Source organism: Homo sapiens, chromosome 1, assembly GCF_000001405.40.
Source record: "Homo sapiens chromosome 1, GRCh38.p14 Primary Assembly".
Lineage (NCBI taxonomy): Eukaryota > Metazoa > Chordata > Mammalia > Primates > Hominidae > Homo > Homo sapiens.
In genome coordinates, this window is record NC_000001.11 from 174,137,020 (window position 1) to 174,156,128 (window position 19,109).

Sequence of the window (19,109 nt, forward strand, 5' to 3'; positions counted from 1 at the left end):
ATTACTGATACTATTGCATATCTTGTCTCTTACCCCTGCTACAAGCTGGTACCACACCCTCACTGACTATTTGTATGGCTTCCTAATATATCTCTATATTTTTTTTAAAATATAGTAGAATGCATGATGGATTAGAGCAAAGAAGAGTGACTCCATGTTCTTTGCTCTAATCCATCATGCAGTCTACTATATTTTTTAAAAATCTGAATTATCAAATCTGGACTACTTTCTTTTCCCTTAATCCTGGGGCTTTATATAAGGCTTTATAATTTTCAAGAATTTTTCATAATAAGTATGAAATATAAGTATTCATAATAAATATTGCTTAATTCTTTTTTTTTTTTTTTGAGATAGAGTCTCACTCTGTCACCCAGGCTACAGTGCAGTGGTGCAATCTCAGCTCACTGCAAACTCTGCCTCCCAGGTTCAAGCAATTCTCATGCCTCAGCCTCCTGAGTAGCTGGGATTACAGGCACCCGCTACCATGCTCGGCTAATTTTTGTATTTTTAGTAGAGACAGGGTTTCACCATGTTGGCCAGGCTGGTCCCAAACTCCTGACCTCAAGTGATCTGCCCAACTCGCCTCTAAAAGTGCTGGGCTTAGAGGCATGAGCCATTGTGCCCAGCCAATATTGCTTAATTCTTATAATAGTCCTGTATTATTAATAGTATCACTAACAGTGCTGTAAAGATGAGGCAAAAACATATACAGAGAGTAACCATTACCAAAGAAAATCACACAGGTAATGCATGTCAGATTTGAGAGTCAAGCTCAGGTCTTCTTATTCCAGCTCAAGTAATTTTTTTTTTTTTTTGAGACAGAGTCTCACTCTGTCACCTAGGCTGGAGTGCAGTGGCATGCTCTCACCTCACTGCAACCTCCACCTTCCAGGCTCAAGCAATTCTCATGCCTCAGCCACCCAAGTAGCTGAGACTACAGGCTTGCACCACTGCAGTTGGCTAATTTTTGTATTTTTAGCAGAGACAGGATTTTGCCTTGCTGGCCAGGCTGGTCTCAAACTCCTGGCCTCAAGTGATCCACCTGCCTTGGCCTCCCAAAGTGCTAGGATTACAGGTGTTAGCCACTGCACCTGGCAACAACTCAAGTATTTTCTTACAGTACAGATGCTCTTTTTAACCCTTCTGCTTACCTTGCTTTTTTCTATTTACTTTTTATTTTTTAATTTTTTGTAGAGATCGGATCTCACTATGTTTCACAAGCTGATCCTGAACTCCTGGCCTTAAGCAATCTTCCCACCTTGGCCTCTCAAAGTGCTAGGATTACAGGCTTGAGCCAGTGCACCCAGCCTCTAGAATGCTTTCTTATTCTATTCTCTATCATTCAAAACTCTGCCATCTTTCAAGTCCCAGTTCAAATACCATGTCTTCCTTAATAGCTACTTTGTCATTACACCTGGAATTAACAATCAATCTATATAACTATAGCATTTAGTTTGTATAACAATATAACTAACGCTCATTACATATTGCTTTATAGAATTATTTGTGTGCATGTCTCATCCGGCCTACTGTTGGGAAAACCTCTTGAGGGTAGAAAATTTAGTGTATTAGTTTTTCTATTCCCCCACTGAGCAAATATATGGCGGTTGTTTGAGTAATTGTGAGTGAATGAATGAACACATGAAGGCCTTGGCCCACACAGTTCTAAAAGGGATTAAGGCCTAAGGAACATCTGGATATCAACTAATGTATTCACCTATTGGCTTAGTTATAGTATCTTAGAAAGAGATAATGAAATTACTGAACTAATAGTTAAGCTGTTGGTGCCTCAGGACAAAACAGAGGTGTGAGGAGGATTGAAATACTTAAGTTAATAGCCCCCTAGATGCAAAGGTAAAAGTTTAGCTCATTATTTCCTAAACTGCATTCACTTCATAGATAAGGAACAACAGCCATTTATTATAGAGTCCATAGTCATATAGTGAAAATATTGATGATGATGATGATAAAATTGCCTTCTGAATTTATTTAGTATTTGTCATTCCTGGACACGTAAACAATATTATCTCCAAATTTTATTGGCAATTATAGTTAAAATAATATTTTATTTACATATTTATATATTTTTCAATATAAATACACATATATACATGTATCACTATGATGAAACTACTTCATAATTATTTTAATTTTTTATTAAAATGCATTTTAAGCATTATATAATGCTTCATAAAATACTTCATGAGGTAACCACCTATGGTTTGTACAGAGAATTCACACTCTCAACACCCTTGCCCTTCTCTCCTTTGGTACTTGCCTGGCAAAACTCCAAGCTTGATGAAATGCAACTTCTCACCTATTCCATGTCTACATCTAATCAACTGGAGAAGAACAAATTATCATGCTAATTGGACTCACTTTAAAATTATGACATCAAGCCTCAACTGGGTTCTCAGTGTTGCCCAGCAATTCTTTACAATTCCATAGTCATTTGACTGTTCTACTCTTCAGATGAAGCTGTTCCCCTCAAGCCTCTTTCTTCCTCCTCCCTCTCAGCTGATGATCTTGCTTTCTGTTAACACTTCACTGAAAAAAAGAAGCAACTAGAAGAGAACCTTCACAACTTCTCACCACTAATTCTACTCACTTACCTGCATCTTACCTTCCCTTCTACTATGAAGGTTGAAATATTCCTGTTTCTGTCTGAGTCTAACCCCTCCCTCCTGTGCCCTTGGTCCTATCCTCTTTTGCTCCCAAAATTATTCCATCTCTTTCCTGTATCAACTTTTCTCTTTTTGTAGAATCATTAACATCAACATATAATATATATTTGAATATCTCCCACTTAATAAAAGAAACTCTATCCTGATCTCACATCCTTCATTAGCCACAGCTCCACTTCTTTTTGCAGAAAATCTCAAAGGAATTATCTAAATTTGTTGTCCCTCGGTCATCTCTCATTCTATCTTGAATCCACTCTAATAAGCCTTTTTGCCTTCACTATTCCACTGGCAATACTTTCATCAAGTATACCATTGCCCTCCATATCACTAAACCCAATGCCGAATTATCAGTCTTCATGATATCATGGTTGACCTCTTAGCAGTATTCAGCACAGTTGATCTTCTTGGAACACATTCTGTATTGGCTTCCAAAAAAACCTCTCTCTCCTGGTTTTTCCCTTATCTCTTTGGCTTCTTTGGAGTCTACTTTGCTGGTTCCTCTTCATTACATTGACAAGTAAATGTCAAAACTGGAGTGCCCCACAGCTAGCTCAGTTCTCCTCTTCTCTATCTACCCTCATTTCATTCCCTAGGAGCTTTCAATCAGTCTTGTGGCTTCAAAAACTATATATATACACACATATATATATGTGTATATATGTAGTTACATACATATATATGTATATATATAGTTACGTATATGTAGTTTGTATATAGTTTTAGATATAGGATATCTAGGTATAGATATAGATATAGATATAGGATATATATATATCTTTCTCTTCCCCTTTCCTTTCTCTCCCTTCTCTTCTTAAATGATTTGATCCCAAAGCCATTAGGTGGAAAAAGCAAGGTTGGAATTGGGCCTGAGTTGGAGAGAATCACAGAGGCCAATTGGGATTTTGGAGCCCAATCTGGGAAAGGAGGATGCTTGCATAAGAGGACTGTGTAGCAAGGATAGTTATAGCCTGAGCAGAGTGAGAAGGACATCCATGGAGAGGGGCAGCATAGTATGGGCTACTGGGTATCCACACAGAAAACTGGTCATGCACGAGGAGTCAAAGCCTAAGCAGAATGAGAAAGACATTTACATGGCAGGGGTAGTCAGGTATGGGTGTTAGAGACTGAGTGGAGTGAGGAGGACATTTGTGCATAGAAGAGAGTGGTGGTGACAATCAATGATCTGTTATTACAGGGGGCTTAATTACATAAATAAATATATTAAAAAGTTAGAGCCAGGTTCCCCATTGTCAGATGGAAAAGAATACTAGAATAAACCTTGTGATGTTTGATTAGAATAGGAGATATTTGTGTGAATTTATGGTTGTATATCTAAATAGATTGATTGATAGAGATATATAGTTATAGAAATAAATATAGATGTAAAAGTGTATATGTTTTCATGTATCTCTATTTTTATCTCTATATTCCTCACTTCTGACCACTGACAGAGCCTGGGAGTAGCTACACCCCAGTAGCAACTGAGCACATCTAGCCCCAGATTTTGACTTCTAAGTATCGTTCTCCACAAAAATAACCAGGGTTCTTTGAGAAATGGCTGATTCCAGTACTGGGGCAGCAAAAATACAAATTAACCCTGGAACATCTGCTGAACCAGACAAAAAAGTGCTCTAAGAATGATGGGGGTATATCAAAAAGAGAGAAGCCAGCTTGGGCTTTCTACTGACCAAATCTGAGACAATTGGATATTTATTTATTTAGACTTCTTCAAATCATGGGATGAGATCATTTGAGAATTAATGATGGAAACAGATTATACTCATTTAAAAAACAATGAGTCAATACAAACATAAATTAATAAATTTAATACATGGAAAGTTTGAAGGTCGGGCATAGTGTCTCATGCCTGTAATCCCAGCACTATGGGAAGCCGAGGCAGGTGTTTCACCTGAGGTCAGGAGTTTGAGACCACCCTGGCCAACATGGTGAAAGCCCATCTCTACTAAAAATACAAAAAATAGCCAGGTGTGGTGGTGGGTGCCTGTAATCCCAGCTACTCCAGAGGCTGAGGCAGGAAAATTGCTTGAACCCAGGAGGCGGAGGGGGCAGTGAGCTGAGATCATGCCATTTGCACTCCAGCCTGGGCGGCAGAGCAAGACTCCATCTCAATAAATAAATAAGTAAGTAAGTAAGTAAATAAATAAATAAATAAATAAATAAATAAAGTTTGATGAAGAATAGGCTATTTGCCAGACGTGGTGGCTCACACCTGTAATCCCTGCACTTTGAGAGGCCAAGGCAGGTAGATTGCTCGAGCCCAGAAGTTCAAGAGCAGCCTGAGCAACATGGTAAAACCCTGTTTTACCAAAAAAAAAAAAAACAAAAAAAACAAAAAAAAAACCACTAGCGTGCATCTCTAGTCCCAGCTACCCAGGAGGCTCAGGTGGGAACATCACCTGAGCCTGGGAGGTTGAGGCTACAGTGAGCTATGATCCTGGCACTGCACTCCAGCCTGGGAGACAGAGCAATACCCTGTCTCAAAACAAAAACAAAAAAGAATAGGATATTTACATAGCTTCAAAGTACTTTTCCACAAAATACTTATTAAGTACAAAAGGGAAAAAAAGCTTTAAAATGGAGAAGCTTATATTACTTTAATCAAGTGATTCAAATTAACACCATCAATAATGAGACAAATTGCAGTTGTGTCCCTAACACCTGATAGGATGCAATAAGAATATAGGATTGCTTATTTATATTCTTAATAGAGAGATGCATAATCTGAATCTAATCATGATGAAATATAAAATAAATTCAAAATTGAGGGATATACTTCAAAATAACTGGCCTGTTAATCTTCAAAAGCAGCAAGGCCATGAAAATCAACGAAAGCCCAAGGAAATATTCCTGAGTGGAGGAGACTAAAGAGACATAATAGGTAAATTCTGAACTGAATCCTTTTATTATAAAGGACATTATGATTTGGATAAGGTCTGAGGGTTAGGTAAGTATAGCAATCTTAATTTCTAGATTTTGATGGGTTTATTGTGTTTATACAGGAAAATGTCCTTATTTATAGGAAGAACACACTGAAGTATCGGGGTGATGGGGCATGGTGTCAGAATTCTCATTGTGTCATTACTGGGTCAGCTTTTGTCATTATTCTCAAATGACTGAGGAAAAACGTTGTTTGTGCTATCCTTGCATCTTTCATGTAATTTTCGACATTGTTTTTTAAAAAGGAAGAAGACTATATGTTAATGAGTTTCAAATTTCTCTCTCCGGCGTGGATCTGAACCCAAGATCATATATTTAATTTTCTAGTCAAAATTGCCACTTGCACCAAACTGGGCAACATAGCAAGACCCCACCTCTACAGAAAAAAATTAACCAGGCATGGCGGCATACACCTGTAGTCTCAGCTACTTTGGAAGTTGAGGCAGGAGAATCACTTGAGCCCAGGAGTTTGAGGTTGCAGTGAGCTATCATGAACCACTGCATTCCAGCCTGGGCAACAGAGGGAGGCCCTGTCTCAAAAAATAAAATAGGCAGGGCATGGTGGCTCATGCCTGTAATCCCAGCACTTTGGGAGGCTGAGGCAGGAGGATCATCTAAGGTCAGGAGTTTGAGACCAGCCTGGCCAACATGGTGAAAGCCCATCTCTACTAAAAATACAAAAAATAGCCAGGTGTGGTGGTGGGTGCCTGTAATCCCAGCTACTCCAGAGGCTGAGGCAGGAGAATCATTTGAACCTGGGAGGCCTTCCAGGGGTTGCAGTGAATCGAGATCATGCTGCTGCACTACAGCCTGGGTGACAGAGCAAGACTGTGTCTCAAAAAATAAAATAAAATAAAAAGTCTTCGCTTGGATGTCTAATCACTGTCAAACTTAAAATGTAAAACTGAGGGTGGCTGGCAAGATGGATGAATAGGAACAGCTCCAGTCTGCAGCTCCCAGTGAGATCAATGCAGAAGGCGGGTGATTTCTGCATTTCCAACCGAGTTACCCAGCTCATCTCATTGGGACTGGTTAGACAGTGGGTGCAGCCCATGGAGGGCAAGCTGAAGCAGGGTGGGGTGTCACCTCACCTGGGAAGCACAAGGGGTTGGGGAACTCCCTTCCCTAGCCAAGGGAAGCCATCAGGAATGGTAAATTCTGGCCCAGATACTATGCTTTTCCCATGGTCTTCGCAACCCACAGACCAGGAGATTCCCTCAGGTGCCTACACCACCAAGGCCCTGGGTTTCAAGCACAGACTAGGTGGCCGTTTGGGCAGACACTGAGCTAGCTGCAGGAGTTTTTTTTTTTTTTTTTTTTTTCTTACCCCAGTGGCGCCTGGACTGCCAGCGAGACAGAACTGTTCACTCTCCTGGAAAGGGGGCTGAAGCCGGGGAGCCAAGTGGTCTAGCTCAGCGGATCACACCGCCACAAAGCCCAGCAAGCTAAGATCCACTGGCTTGAAATTCTCACTGCCAGCACAGCAGTCTGAAGTCGACCTAGGACTTTGAGTTTGGTGTGGGGAGAGGCGTCTGTCATTACCGAGGCTTAAGTAGGTGGTTTTCCCCTCACAGTATAAACAAAACTGCCGGGAAGTTTGAACTGGGTAGAGCCCACTGCAGGGCGGCAAAGCCACTGTAGCCAGACTGCCTATCTAGATTCCTCCTCTCTGGGCAGGGCATCTCTGAAAGAAAGGCAGCAGCCCCAGTCAGGGGCTTATAGATAAAACTCCCATTTCCCTGGGACAGAGCACCTGGAAGAAGGGGCTCCTTTGGGCACAGCTTCAGTAGACTTAAACATTCCTGCCGGCTAGCTCTGAAGAGAGCAGTAGGTCTCCCAGCACAGCACTCGAGCTCTGCTAAGGGACAGACTGCCTCCTCAAGTGGGTCCCCTGTGCCTCCTGACTGGGAGATACTTCCCAGCAGGGGTCGACAGACACCTCATATAGGAGAGTTCTGGCTGGCATCTGGTGGGTGTCCCTGTGGGATGAAGCTTCCAGAGGAAGGAACAGGCAGTAATCTTTGCTGTTCTGCAGCCTCCACTGATGATACCCAGGCAAACAGGGTTTGGATTAGACCTCCAGCAAACTCCAGCAGACCTGCAGCAGAGGGGCCTGACCATTAGAAGGAAAACTAACAAACAGAAAGGAATAGTATCAACATCAACAAAAAGGACATCCACACAGAAACCCCATCTGAAGGTCACCAACATCAAAGACCAAAAGTAGATAAATGCATGAAGATGAGAAAAAAACAGTGCAAAAAGGCTGAAAATTCCAAAAACCAGAACGCCTCTTCTCCTCCAAAGGATCACAACTCCTCACCAGAAAGGGAACAAAACTGGATGGAGAATGAGTTTGATGAATTGACAGAAGAAGGCTTCAGAAAGTGGGTAATAACAAACTCCTCTGAGCTAAAGGAGCATGTTCTAACCCAATGCAAGGAAGCTAAGAACCTTGATAAAAGGTTAGAGGAATTGCTGACTAGAATAACCAGTTTAGAAAAGAACATGAATTACCTGATGGAGCTGAAAAACACAGCATGAGAACTTTGTGAAGCATACGCAAGTATCAATAGCCAAATCCATCAAGTGGAAGAAAAGATATCAGAGACTGAAGATCAACTTAATGAAACAAAGCAAGAAGACAAGATTTGAGAAAAAAGAATGAAAAGAAATGAACAAATCCTCCAAGAAATATGGGACTATGTGAGAAGACCAAACCTACGTTTGATTGGTGTACCTGAAAGTGATGGGGAGAATGGAACCAAGTTGGAAAACACTCTTCAGGATATTATCCAGGAGAACTTCCCCAACCTAGCAAGACAGGCCAACATTCAAATTCAGGAAATACAGAGAACACCACTAAGATACTCCTTGAGAAGAGCAACCCCAAGACACATAATTGTCACATTCACCAAGGTTGAAGTGAAGGAAAAATTGTTAAGGGCAGCCGGAGAGAAAGGTCGGGTTACCCACAAAGGGCAGCCTACCAGACTAACAGTGGATCTCTCTACAGAAACCCTACAAGCCAGAAGAGAGTGGGGGCCAATATTCAACATTCTTAAAGAAAAGAGTTTTCAACCCAGAATTTCATATCCAACCAAACTAAGCTTCATAAGTGAAGAAGAAATAAAATCCCTTATAGACAAGCAAATGCTGAGGGATTTTGTCACCACCAGGCCTGCCTTACAAGACTCCTGCAGGAAGAACTAAATATGGAAAGGAAAAACTAGTGCCAGCCACTGCAAAAACATACCAAATTGTAAAGACTGTCAACACTATAAAGGAACTGCCTCAACTAACAGGCAAAACAACCAGCTAGCATCATAATGAAAGGATCAAATTCACACATAACAATATTAACCTTAAATGTAAATGGGCTAAATGCCCCAATTGAAAGACACAGACTGGTAAATTGGATAAAAAGTGAAGACCCATCGGTGTGCTGTATTCAGGAAACCCACCTCACGTGGGCTCAAAATAAAGGGATGGAGAAAAATTACCAAAATTAAGGCAGAAATAAATAAGTTCTTTGAAACCAATGAGAACAAAGACACAATGTACCAGAATCTCTGGGCCACAGCTAAAGCAGTGTTTAGAGGGAAATTTATAGCACTAAAATCCCACAGGAGAAAGTGGGAAAGATCTAAAATTAACACCCTAACATCACATTTAAAAGAACTAGAGAAGCAAGAGCAAACAAATTCAAAAGCTAGCAGAAGACAAGAAATAACTAAGATCAGAGCAGAAATGAAGGAGATAGAGACACAAAAAAGCCTTCAAAAAATGAATGAATCCAGGAGGTGGTTTTTTGAAAAGATTAACGAAATATACCGCTAGAGAGACTAATAAAGAAGAAAAGAGAGAATAATCAAACAGACACAATAAAAAATGATAAAGGGGATATCACCACTGATTGCATAAAAGTACAAACTACCATCAGAGAATACTATAAACACCTCTAGGCAAATAAACTAGAAAATCTAGAAGAAATGGATAAATTCCTGGACACATATACCCTCCCAAGACTACACCAGGAAGAAGTCGAATCCCTGAATAGACTAATAACAAGTTCTGAAATTGAGGCAGTAATTAATCGCCTTTCAACCAAAAAGAGTCCAGGACCAGACGGATTCACAGCTGAATTCTACCAGAGGTACAAAGAGGAGCTGGTACCATTCCTTCTGAAACTATTCCAAAAAATAGAAAAACAGGAACTCCTCCTTAATTAATGTTATGAGGCCAGCATCATCCTGATACCAAAACCTGGCAGAGACACAACAAAAAAAGAAAATTTCAGGCCAATATCCCTGATGAACATAGATGCGAAAATCCTCAGTAAAATACTGGCAAGCCGAATCCAGCAGCACATCAAAAAGCTCATCCACCACCGTCAAGTCGGCTTCATTCCTGGGATGCAAGTCTGGTTCAACATATGCAAATCAATAAACATAATCCATCACATAAACAGAACCAATGACAAAAACCACGATTATCTCAACAGATGCAGAAAAGGCCTTCGATAAAATTCAACACCCCATTCATGCTAAAAAACTCTCAATAAACTAGGTATTGATGGAACGTATGTCAAAAAAATAAGAGCTATTTATGACAAACCCACAGCCAATAACATACTGAATGGGCAAAAGCCGGAAGCATTTCCTTTGAAAACTGGCACAAGACAAGGATGCCCTCTTTCACCACTCCTATTTAACATAGTACTGGAAATTTTGGCCAGGGCAATCACGCAAGAGAAAGAAATAAAGGGTATTCAAATAGGAAGGAAGAAGTCAAATTGTCTCTGTTTGCAGATGACATCATTTTATATTTAGAACACCCCATTGTCTCAGCCCAAAATTTCCTTAAGCTGATAAGCAACTTCAGCAAAGTCTCAGGATACAAAATCAACCTGCAAAAATCACAAGCATTCCTATACATCAACAATAGACAAACAGAGCCAAATCATGAGTGAACTCTCATTCACAATTGCTACGAAGAGAATAAAATACCTAGGAATAAAACTTATAAGGGATGTGAAGGACCTCTTCAAGGAGAACTACAAACCACTGCTCAAAGAAATAAAAGAGGACACAAACAAATGGAAAAACATTCCATGCTCATGGATAGGAAGAATCAATATTGTGAAAATGGCCATACTGCCCAAAGTAATTTATAGATTCAATGCTATTCCCATCAAGCTATCATTGACTTTCTTCACAGCATTAAAAAAAATACTTTAAATTCCATATGGAACCAAAAAAGAGCCTGTATAGCCAAGACAATCCTAAGCAAAAAGAACAAAGCTGGAGGCATCACGCTACCTGACTTCAAACTATACTACAAGGCTACAGTAACCAAAACAGCATGGTACTGGTACCAAAACAGATATATAGACCAATGGAACAGAACAGAGGCCTCAGAAATAACACCACACATCTACAACCATCTGATTTTTGACAAACCTGACAAAAACAAGAAATGGGGAAAGGATTCCCTATTTAATAAATGGCATTGGGAAAACTGGCTAGCCATATGCAAAAAACTGAAACTGGACTCCTTCCTCACACCTTATACAAAAATTAACTCAAGATGGATTAAAGACTTAAACATTAGACCTAAAACCATAAAAACCCTAAAAGAAAACCTAGGCAGTACCATTCAGGATATAGGCATGGGCAAAGACTTCATGAATAAAACACAAAAAGCAATGGCAACAAAAGCCAAAATTGACAAATGGGATCTAATTAAACTAAAGAGCTTCTGCACAGCAAAAGAAACTACCATCAGAGTGAATAGGCAACCTATAGAATGGGAGAAAATTTTTTTTTTTTTTTTTTTTTTTTTTTGAGACGGAGTCTCGCTCTGTCGCCCAGGCTGGAGTGCAGTGGCGCAATCTCGGCTCACTGCAAGCTCCGCCTCCCGGGTTCACGCCATTCTCCTGCCTCAGCCTCCCGAGTAGCTGGGACTACAGGCGCCCGCTACCACGCCCGGCTAATTTTTTGTATTTTTAGTAGAGACGGGGTTTCACCGTGTTAGCCAGGATGGTCTCGATCTCCTGACCTCGTGATCCACCCGCCTCGGCCTCCCAAAGTGCTGGGATTACAGGCGTGAGCCACCGCGCCCGGCCTTTTTTTTTTTTTTTTTTTTTTTGAATGGGAGAAAATTTTTGCAATCTATCTATCTGACAAAGAGCTGATATCCAGAATCTACAAGGAACTTAAACAAATTTACAAGAAAAAAACAACCCCATCAAAAAGTGGGCAAAGGATATGAACAGACACTTCTCAAAAGAAGACATTTATGCAGCCAACAAACATATGAAAAAAAAAGCTCATCATCACTGGTCATTAGAGAAATGCAAATCAAAACCACAATGAGATACCATCTCATGGCAGTTAGAATGGCGATCATTAAAAAGTTAGGAAACAACAGATGCTGGAGAAGATGTGGAGAAATAGGAACGCATTTACAGTGTTGGTGGGAGTGTACATTAGTTCAACCATTGTGGATGACAGTGTGGCAATTCCTCAAGGATCTAGAACCAGAAATACCATTTGGCCCAGCAATCCCATTACTGGGTATATACCCAAAGGGTTATAAATCATTCCACTATAAAGACATACACACACATATATTTATTGCAGCACTATTCACAATGCAAAGACTTGGAACCAACCCAAATGCCCATCAATGATAGGCTGGATAAAGAAAATGTGGCACATACACACCATGGAGTACTACGCAGCCATAAAAAAGGATGAGAGAGTCACTGACAACAGCCATTGAGTAGGTGAGAACACGAACAGGAAAGAGAGAAGAGCTGAACACGTTTCTTTTCTCAGAATCCTCCCTTTCAAATGAGGCTGAATTTTGTGATTTTAAAAATTTAAGACCTTATGATTTCTGCAAGCGGGCAGGAAAGTCATGAGACTTGCTGGAATTTTCATCTTTGTGGCAGGGGAAAAAGCTAACCCCACTGAGTTAGTTTTAAGAGAATAGTTATGTTTTGATTATATTTTACAAGTCACACTAGTTCAATGCAATAAATATACAGATTTTCTGCTACACAGTTGGTGGAAACCTTTCAGAACCTGCGGGTACATGTCTTAAGAGGAAAAGAGCATTGCAAGCTCAAATTTTTAAAATAAAAAATTTTACAATTCCTATATTAGTTTCATTCACCAATCACTACACTAAGTCCCGAAGCAAATAAAATGTATATATTCAAAATTTATGAAGGAAATAAATTAAAAATTTGAATGACAAAAAATTCAGTCTTTTGGCCAGGTGCGGTGGCTCATGCCTATAATCCCAGCACTTTGGGAGGCTGAGGCAGGCGGATCACTTGAGGTCAGGAGTTTGAGACCAGCCTGGCCAACATTGTGAAACCCCATCTCTACTAAAAATACAAAAATTCGCTGGGCATGGTGACGCACACCTGTAATCCCAGCTACTCTGGAGGCTGAGGCTGGAGACTCGCTTGAACCCGGAGGCAGAGGTTGCAGTGAGCCGAGATCACGCCACCGCATTCCAGCCTGGGTGACAGAGTGAGACTCCATCTCAAAAAAAAAATTCAGTCTTTCTAAGACAGGGAAATATGCAGTGTACTTTCAGTAGAATGATTATCAAACCACAAAGGACTTAAAAAACAACAACAACCCTTTAGCCATGGTTATTAAGATGAAATAATTACTGAAATTCTTATTTAAATTTCCTATATCAGCTATCCTTCTAGATATGAGGCATCCAAGTGAAGAATTTCAATTTTAAAGGAATTATTATTATTGTTATTATTATTTTTAGAGACACGGTCTTCCTTTATCACCCAGGCTGGACTGCAGTGGTGCTATCATAGCTTACTATAACCTCAAACTCCTGGGCTCAAGTGATCCTCCTGCTGTAGCCTCCACAGTAGCTGAGACTACAGGCGTGTGCCACCATGTCTGGCTATTTAAAAACATTTTTTTTATAGAGATGGGGTCTTGCTATGTTGCCCAGGCTAGTCTCAAACTCCTGGCCTGAAGTGATCCTCTTGCTTTGGCCTCCCAAAGTGCTGGGATTCAAGGCATGAGTCACCATGCCTGGCTAGGAATTTTTATTTGTTTTTTGAGATAGGGTCTCACTCTGTTGCCTAGGCTGGAGTACAGTGGCGGGATCTCTGCTCACTGCAGCCTCCACCTCTCTGGCTCAAGCAATCCTTCCACTTCAGCCCCCCAAGCAGCTGGGACTACTGGCAGGCACCACCACACCCAGATAATTTTTGTATTTTTTGTAGAGATGGGATTTCGCCATGTTGCCCAGGCTGGTCTTGAACTCCTGAGCTCTAGTGATCCACCCGCCTTGACCTCCCAGAGTGCTAGAATTATATTTTTCTGAAATTATTTTAATAATCCCATAAATTATAAATTATAATCTCTTCAGAAATCATGTGAATCAATTAAGAAGGAATATGACCCTAAGATAAGGTTTAAGAGTAAAAATAGTAGTTAGAATTAAGTTCAGTTGCAAGTGAGTAAAACTAAAAATAGCAAATAATGGATTAAACACACAAGGTTTCATTCTCTATAAGTTTGGAAATTGGCATTTTAGGTGGGATTTCAGGTGGGATGGAGGTTCCACAAAGTCATCATGGACATAAACTCCTTCTGGTTGGTCACTACACCATACCTAGGGTGGTCCTCATCCTCCGGCTGAAGATGGTTGCTAGATTCAACCATCACATCTATGTTCCAGGTAGTAGGAGGGAAGAAAGGGAAAAGAAGAGGCCAGTCTCTCTCTTTGAAGAAAATTTCACAGTTACTTTTCTCATTTGCCAGAATATTGGCTGCAAAGGAAGACAGGAATTATAGTCTTTTATCTGTGTATAGTTTAATATTGGATAAATTTGGGGTTCTTTTACTAAGATGGAAGGAGAAAATGGATGATGAGGCAAGCAGCTAGGAGTCTCTGGCATACACACTTAAATATATTTCTTTTAATAAGATGGTTAGGTCTGACATTAATTACTAATAAGTTTGAATTATTGGTAAAGATATTTAATTGTACTGTAGATTCAGTGTTCTTTAAATGCTTGCTTTCTCTATGTAGAGAACACTTCTGTCACTTGCAACCAAAGAAAGACTAACTCATGGTCAGTAATCAGGGATTTGTTCTATTATTTAAGCTCTCTGTTTCACTAAGAGAAGCATCTCAGCAAATTCTAACACAAATTTGTAAATATATTCATTCAATCATTCATACAATAAACATACTGAATGCCTAGGTACTAGGAAAAAAAAACCCATAATTTTTGAATTCAAAGTGTTCAGTCTGGTAGAAAAAGATGGTGATAAAAAATTTTAAATGTATGAAAGTGTTATAGGTGCAGTAAAAATATATGTATCTGGTGTTGTGGGGTACAGTAGAGCAAGATATCAATTCTACAAAAATGAGATTAAAGGGTATGCATCCAAAGTAAGGCATACATTGATGGTGGAATTCAATTAAAAATGATTACATAATTTAAAATACATCAAAAGGTACAGAGAATAACACAATGGCTATCAATTTATGCACCATCTGCCTATGAAACAAGATATTTTGAATATAATTACAAGATACAATTCTGATTTTCATATGCAGTTTGAAATTATTAGCAGTTTGAAATTATTAGTAATGATGTATGTAGGTGTGTCAAAAACTAAAAATCTTCCACGAAGAGGTTGTTATTGTCACCGTCACCAAATCAGAGAATTAAATAGTAAGAATTTTCCTGAAATTGAAAGTGTTAGACAAAGTTTTAGGAATATTTTAATATATTCTAAAGCAATGGCATTTGTCATTTTATAATTCTCATTTACTTTTGTATTAGAGAGTCTCTTAGAATTAGACATAATCTTTTTTCAAATTTGCAGCTTATTTTTTATGTGGCAAAGGGAAAAGGACTAAAAAAATGTCTTGGAGGGAGGGGTAGGGTGTGGTGGAGAGGGCGTGAACTTCCCTTGACTCAGAAGAGGAAAGTGGTAATTTTCCTCCCTTTACCATGAAAGTATTTGTAATTTTTGAAGTAGCTTTTTCTACAAAACATATGTATTTAAGGAATATTTCTTATATATTCAAAACCTGCAATTTAGTAGGCCTATGGTAAGTACTTCAAAGGAACTTGGAGTTTACTGCCAAAGCTCTGTTTGGAAACGCTTGTGCAGGGAAAGCATCAGGAAGGAAGATACCACATCTGTAGAAAAGCAGCCTCCCTCTTTGTATAGTTTCTTTACATTATTAAAAAATTAACATAATTCAGACTAATATGGCTAGCTGGGCTGACAAGGAAAGACTCCCTACCTTTACAAAAATATACAAATGTGGGATAATAACTTTAAAAATTGAAAAAATGTATTTTGTCAAGCTTGAAAGCAAGAAAGGGAAATCAGCTAGGTATGGTGGCTGCAATCCTAGCACTTTGGGAGGCTGAGGCAGAAGGCTCACTTGAGCCCAGAAGTTTAAGACCAGCCTGGGCAACATAGAGATGTCCCATTTCTATCAAAAATAAAAAAAAAAAATCCAGGCATGGCAGCGTTCACCTGAGGTCCCAGCTACTCGGGAGGCTGAGGTGAAAGGATCACTTGAGCCCAGGGGATTGAAGCTGCAGTGAGCTGTGATCATGCCACTTCCACTGTGGCCTGGGCGACACAGTAAAACCCTGTCTCAAAGAAATTTTTTTTTTAGCCATCGAAACAACAACAATAACAAAAAAAAAAAAAAAGAAAGAAAGAAAAAAGAAAAGGAAATCACTAGCTTTTAGAAAAAGGAAAACAAAAAACCAGAGCATTACAGGAAGCTGAAGTCAAGTATATACTGAAGCCCAGTGGCTCACATGAGTACTGGAACTTGATACATGTTGTGAGACTCAAAGACTTAGAAGGAATAGATTATTGACAAGTGCAAAAACATGGATGAATCCTGAAATGATTATACTGAGTAAAAAAAGCAACACAAAAAAAGAATACATACTATATGATTCCATTTATAGAAAATTCTAGAAAATGCAAACAAATCTCTAGCAACATCAGTGAGTGCCTGAGGACATGGAGGGGTATGAGTCAGAGTAGGAGGGAGAGATTACAAAGGGGCATGATGGATATGTTTACTCTTGATTGTGGTGATGGTTTCACAGTTGCGTACATATGTCAAAACTTGTCAAATTGTACACTTTAAATATGAATAGCTTATTGTATGTCTGTTATATCTCATGAAGATGTTAAAAAGGACAAACAAAATCAACATCCAAGCAAGTTCAACAGATCCTTCTTCTCACTTATATGTATGCAATTTATTTGCTGAAGAAACTTGGTGGTATGTCCTATAGAGTTTCCCACATTCTGGATTTTATTGATTGCAAAAAGGAATCCTTATCTTTTTTTTTTTTGAGACAGGTATTGCTTTGTCACCCCCTTATGGCTCACTGCAGCCTTGACCTCCCAGGTTCAAGCGGTCTTCCTACCTCAACCTCCCAAGTAGCTGGGACCACAGGTGCGTGCCATCACCCCTGGCTAATTTTTAAATTTTTTGTAGAGATGGGGTCTAGCTATGTTTCCCAGGCTGGTCTCAAACTCCTGGGCTCAAGCAATCCTCCTGCCTCGGTCTCCCAAAACGCTGGGATTACAGGCCTGAGCCACCATGCCTGGTCAAGAATTCTTATCTTTTAGAGCTTTATATGATGAAGTATTTATGGGTGATATCCATGTGAGGGGTGGGGAAGGAGATTGGCCACATATTGATAATTGTTCAAGCTGAATGACTGACTCATGAAGGCTCATTATACTCTTCTCTCTACTTTTTATGTGCTTAAACATTTTTTATAAGAAAAAGTTGAAACAAGTCCTGGGGCCTATCTTAGAGGTACTGAATTTCTTGGGGGTTGAGCATAGAGATATGCATTTTTATAAACTCCCAAGGTGATTTTGTTATACACTACAGAGGATCACTGCCCCACATAAAAGAAAAGGACTCCTATGGTGAGATGAATTTCAGACACCTACCATAATGTATGGGAAAAACCATTTTTGGTAGGTGTCCTTTACATTAAGTATCAAATTCTAAAAGTAGTAGAGGCTGGGCATGGTGGCTCATGCCTGTAATCTCAGCACTTTGGGAGGCCACGGTGGGCAGATCACTTGAGGTCAGGAGTTTGAGACCAGCCTGGCCAACACGGTGAAACCCCGTCTGTACTAAAAATACAAAAATTAGCCAGGTGTGGTGGTGGGCACCTATAATCCCAGCTACTTGGGAGGCTGAGGCAGGAGAGTCACTTGAACCCGGGAGGTGGAGGTTGCAGTGAGCCAAGATCGCACCACTGCACTCCAGCCTGGGTGACAGAGTGAGACCCTGTCTCAAAAAATAAAAAATATAAAAAATAAAAGAAATAAAAGTAGTAGGCTAGCTATTCTTCCTCAAGAGACATTTAGGGCCAGGCGCAGTGGCTCATGCCTTTAATCCCTCCCAGCACTTTGGGAGGCTGAGGCGGGTGGATCACCTGAGGTCAGGAGTTCGAGACCAGACTGGCCAATGTGGCGAAACGCTGTCTCTACTAAAAAAATACAAAAATTAGCTGGGCATGGTGGTGCGTGCCTGTAATCCCAGCTACTCCGGAGGCTAAGGCAGGGGAATTGCTTGAACCCGGGAGGCGGAGGTTGCAGTCAGCCGAGATTGCGCCACTGCACTCCAGCCTGGGCAGCAAGAGTGAAACTCTGTCTCAAAAAAATAAAATAAAACAGGCATTTAGATCTCTGCCTGCCTCTTCTACTGCTGAGGAAATTTTCTGCTCCCTATATACATATTTTATTGTGTTCTTAGTCTTAAATGGGCGATTGCAACACAGGTTTGGTTTATCATATAAGCTCATTATGACTTGTCCAGATTACTCTGAATTTCAGCCCTACATAAAACCGTGAAATAAAAAAGGTTTTCTTCTGTATCTCCAGTTTTACCTGTTACATCTTTCGCTCTCTCGGTGATTTCTCCCTTCCTCCAGTAGCCAGTGCCTCTTTTCCAAATCTTCCTGTTAGTAAAAAAAAAAAAGACTAAAAAATCATGTGATAAACTCATTTATATAAGATTAGTGATTCGAGTCATGAAGTGCTCTTCTTGGGCAAAGTTGATTTAAATAGGGCACAGGATTTAAGTCAAAGTGAAAAAAAAAAAAAGTGTAACGATGGGCTTTCAGGCATCAGGTAGCCCAGTCAGGGAAGGATTTTTTGGTGTGGTCAAATTCCTTTCAAGACCCTGTAAAATCTTGCCAGACAGCTTGTTACCTTTCTATCATTGGAAACGTATCCTTGGAAGAGTCATATAATGCAACTAAAGTTATTTGTTCCATAGTATGCATGGAAAGATTTAGCTTTATCTGTAAGAAATACAAAGCCAAACTCGAACCTTCTTAAAAAGCTGTCAAAATCAGGCCGGGCACGGTGGTTCACGCCTGTAATCCTA

At 39.9% G+C, this 19,109-nt stretch overlaps 1 long non-coding RNA gene across 1 annotated transcript in view, besides 1 other annotated feature; it reads right to left on the reverse strand.

Annotated features, from left to right (window-relative positions):
• RABGAP1L-DT (RABGAP1L divergent transcript) overlaps nt 1-19,109 on the reverse strand; it is a 37,650-nt gene that overhangs the window by 15,382 nt on the left and 3,159 nt on the right. The window contains exon 3 of the long non-coding RNA NR_121197.1: nt 18,608-18,678. This is a non-coding gene — a long non-coding RNA (RABGAP1L divergent transcript). The remainder of the gene's footprint in view (nt 1-18,607; nt 18,679-19,109) is intronic.
• Nucleotides 16,737-16,846: an enhancer, noted in NCBI's record as "active region_2120". NCBI's record gives its function as "activates an Ori minimal core promoter by ATAC-STARR-seq in GM12878 lymphoblastoid cells {active_cell/tissue: GM12878}" and the evidence as "EXISTENCE:reporter gene assay evidence [ECO:0000049][PMID:35858748]".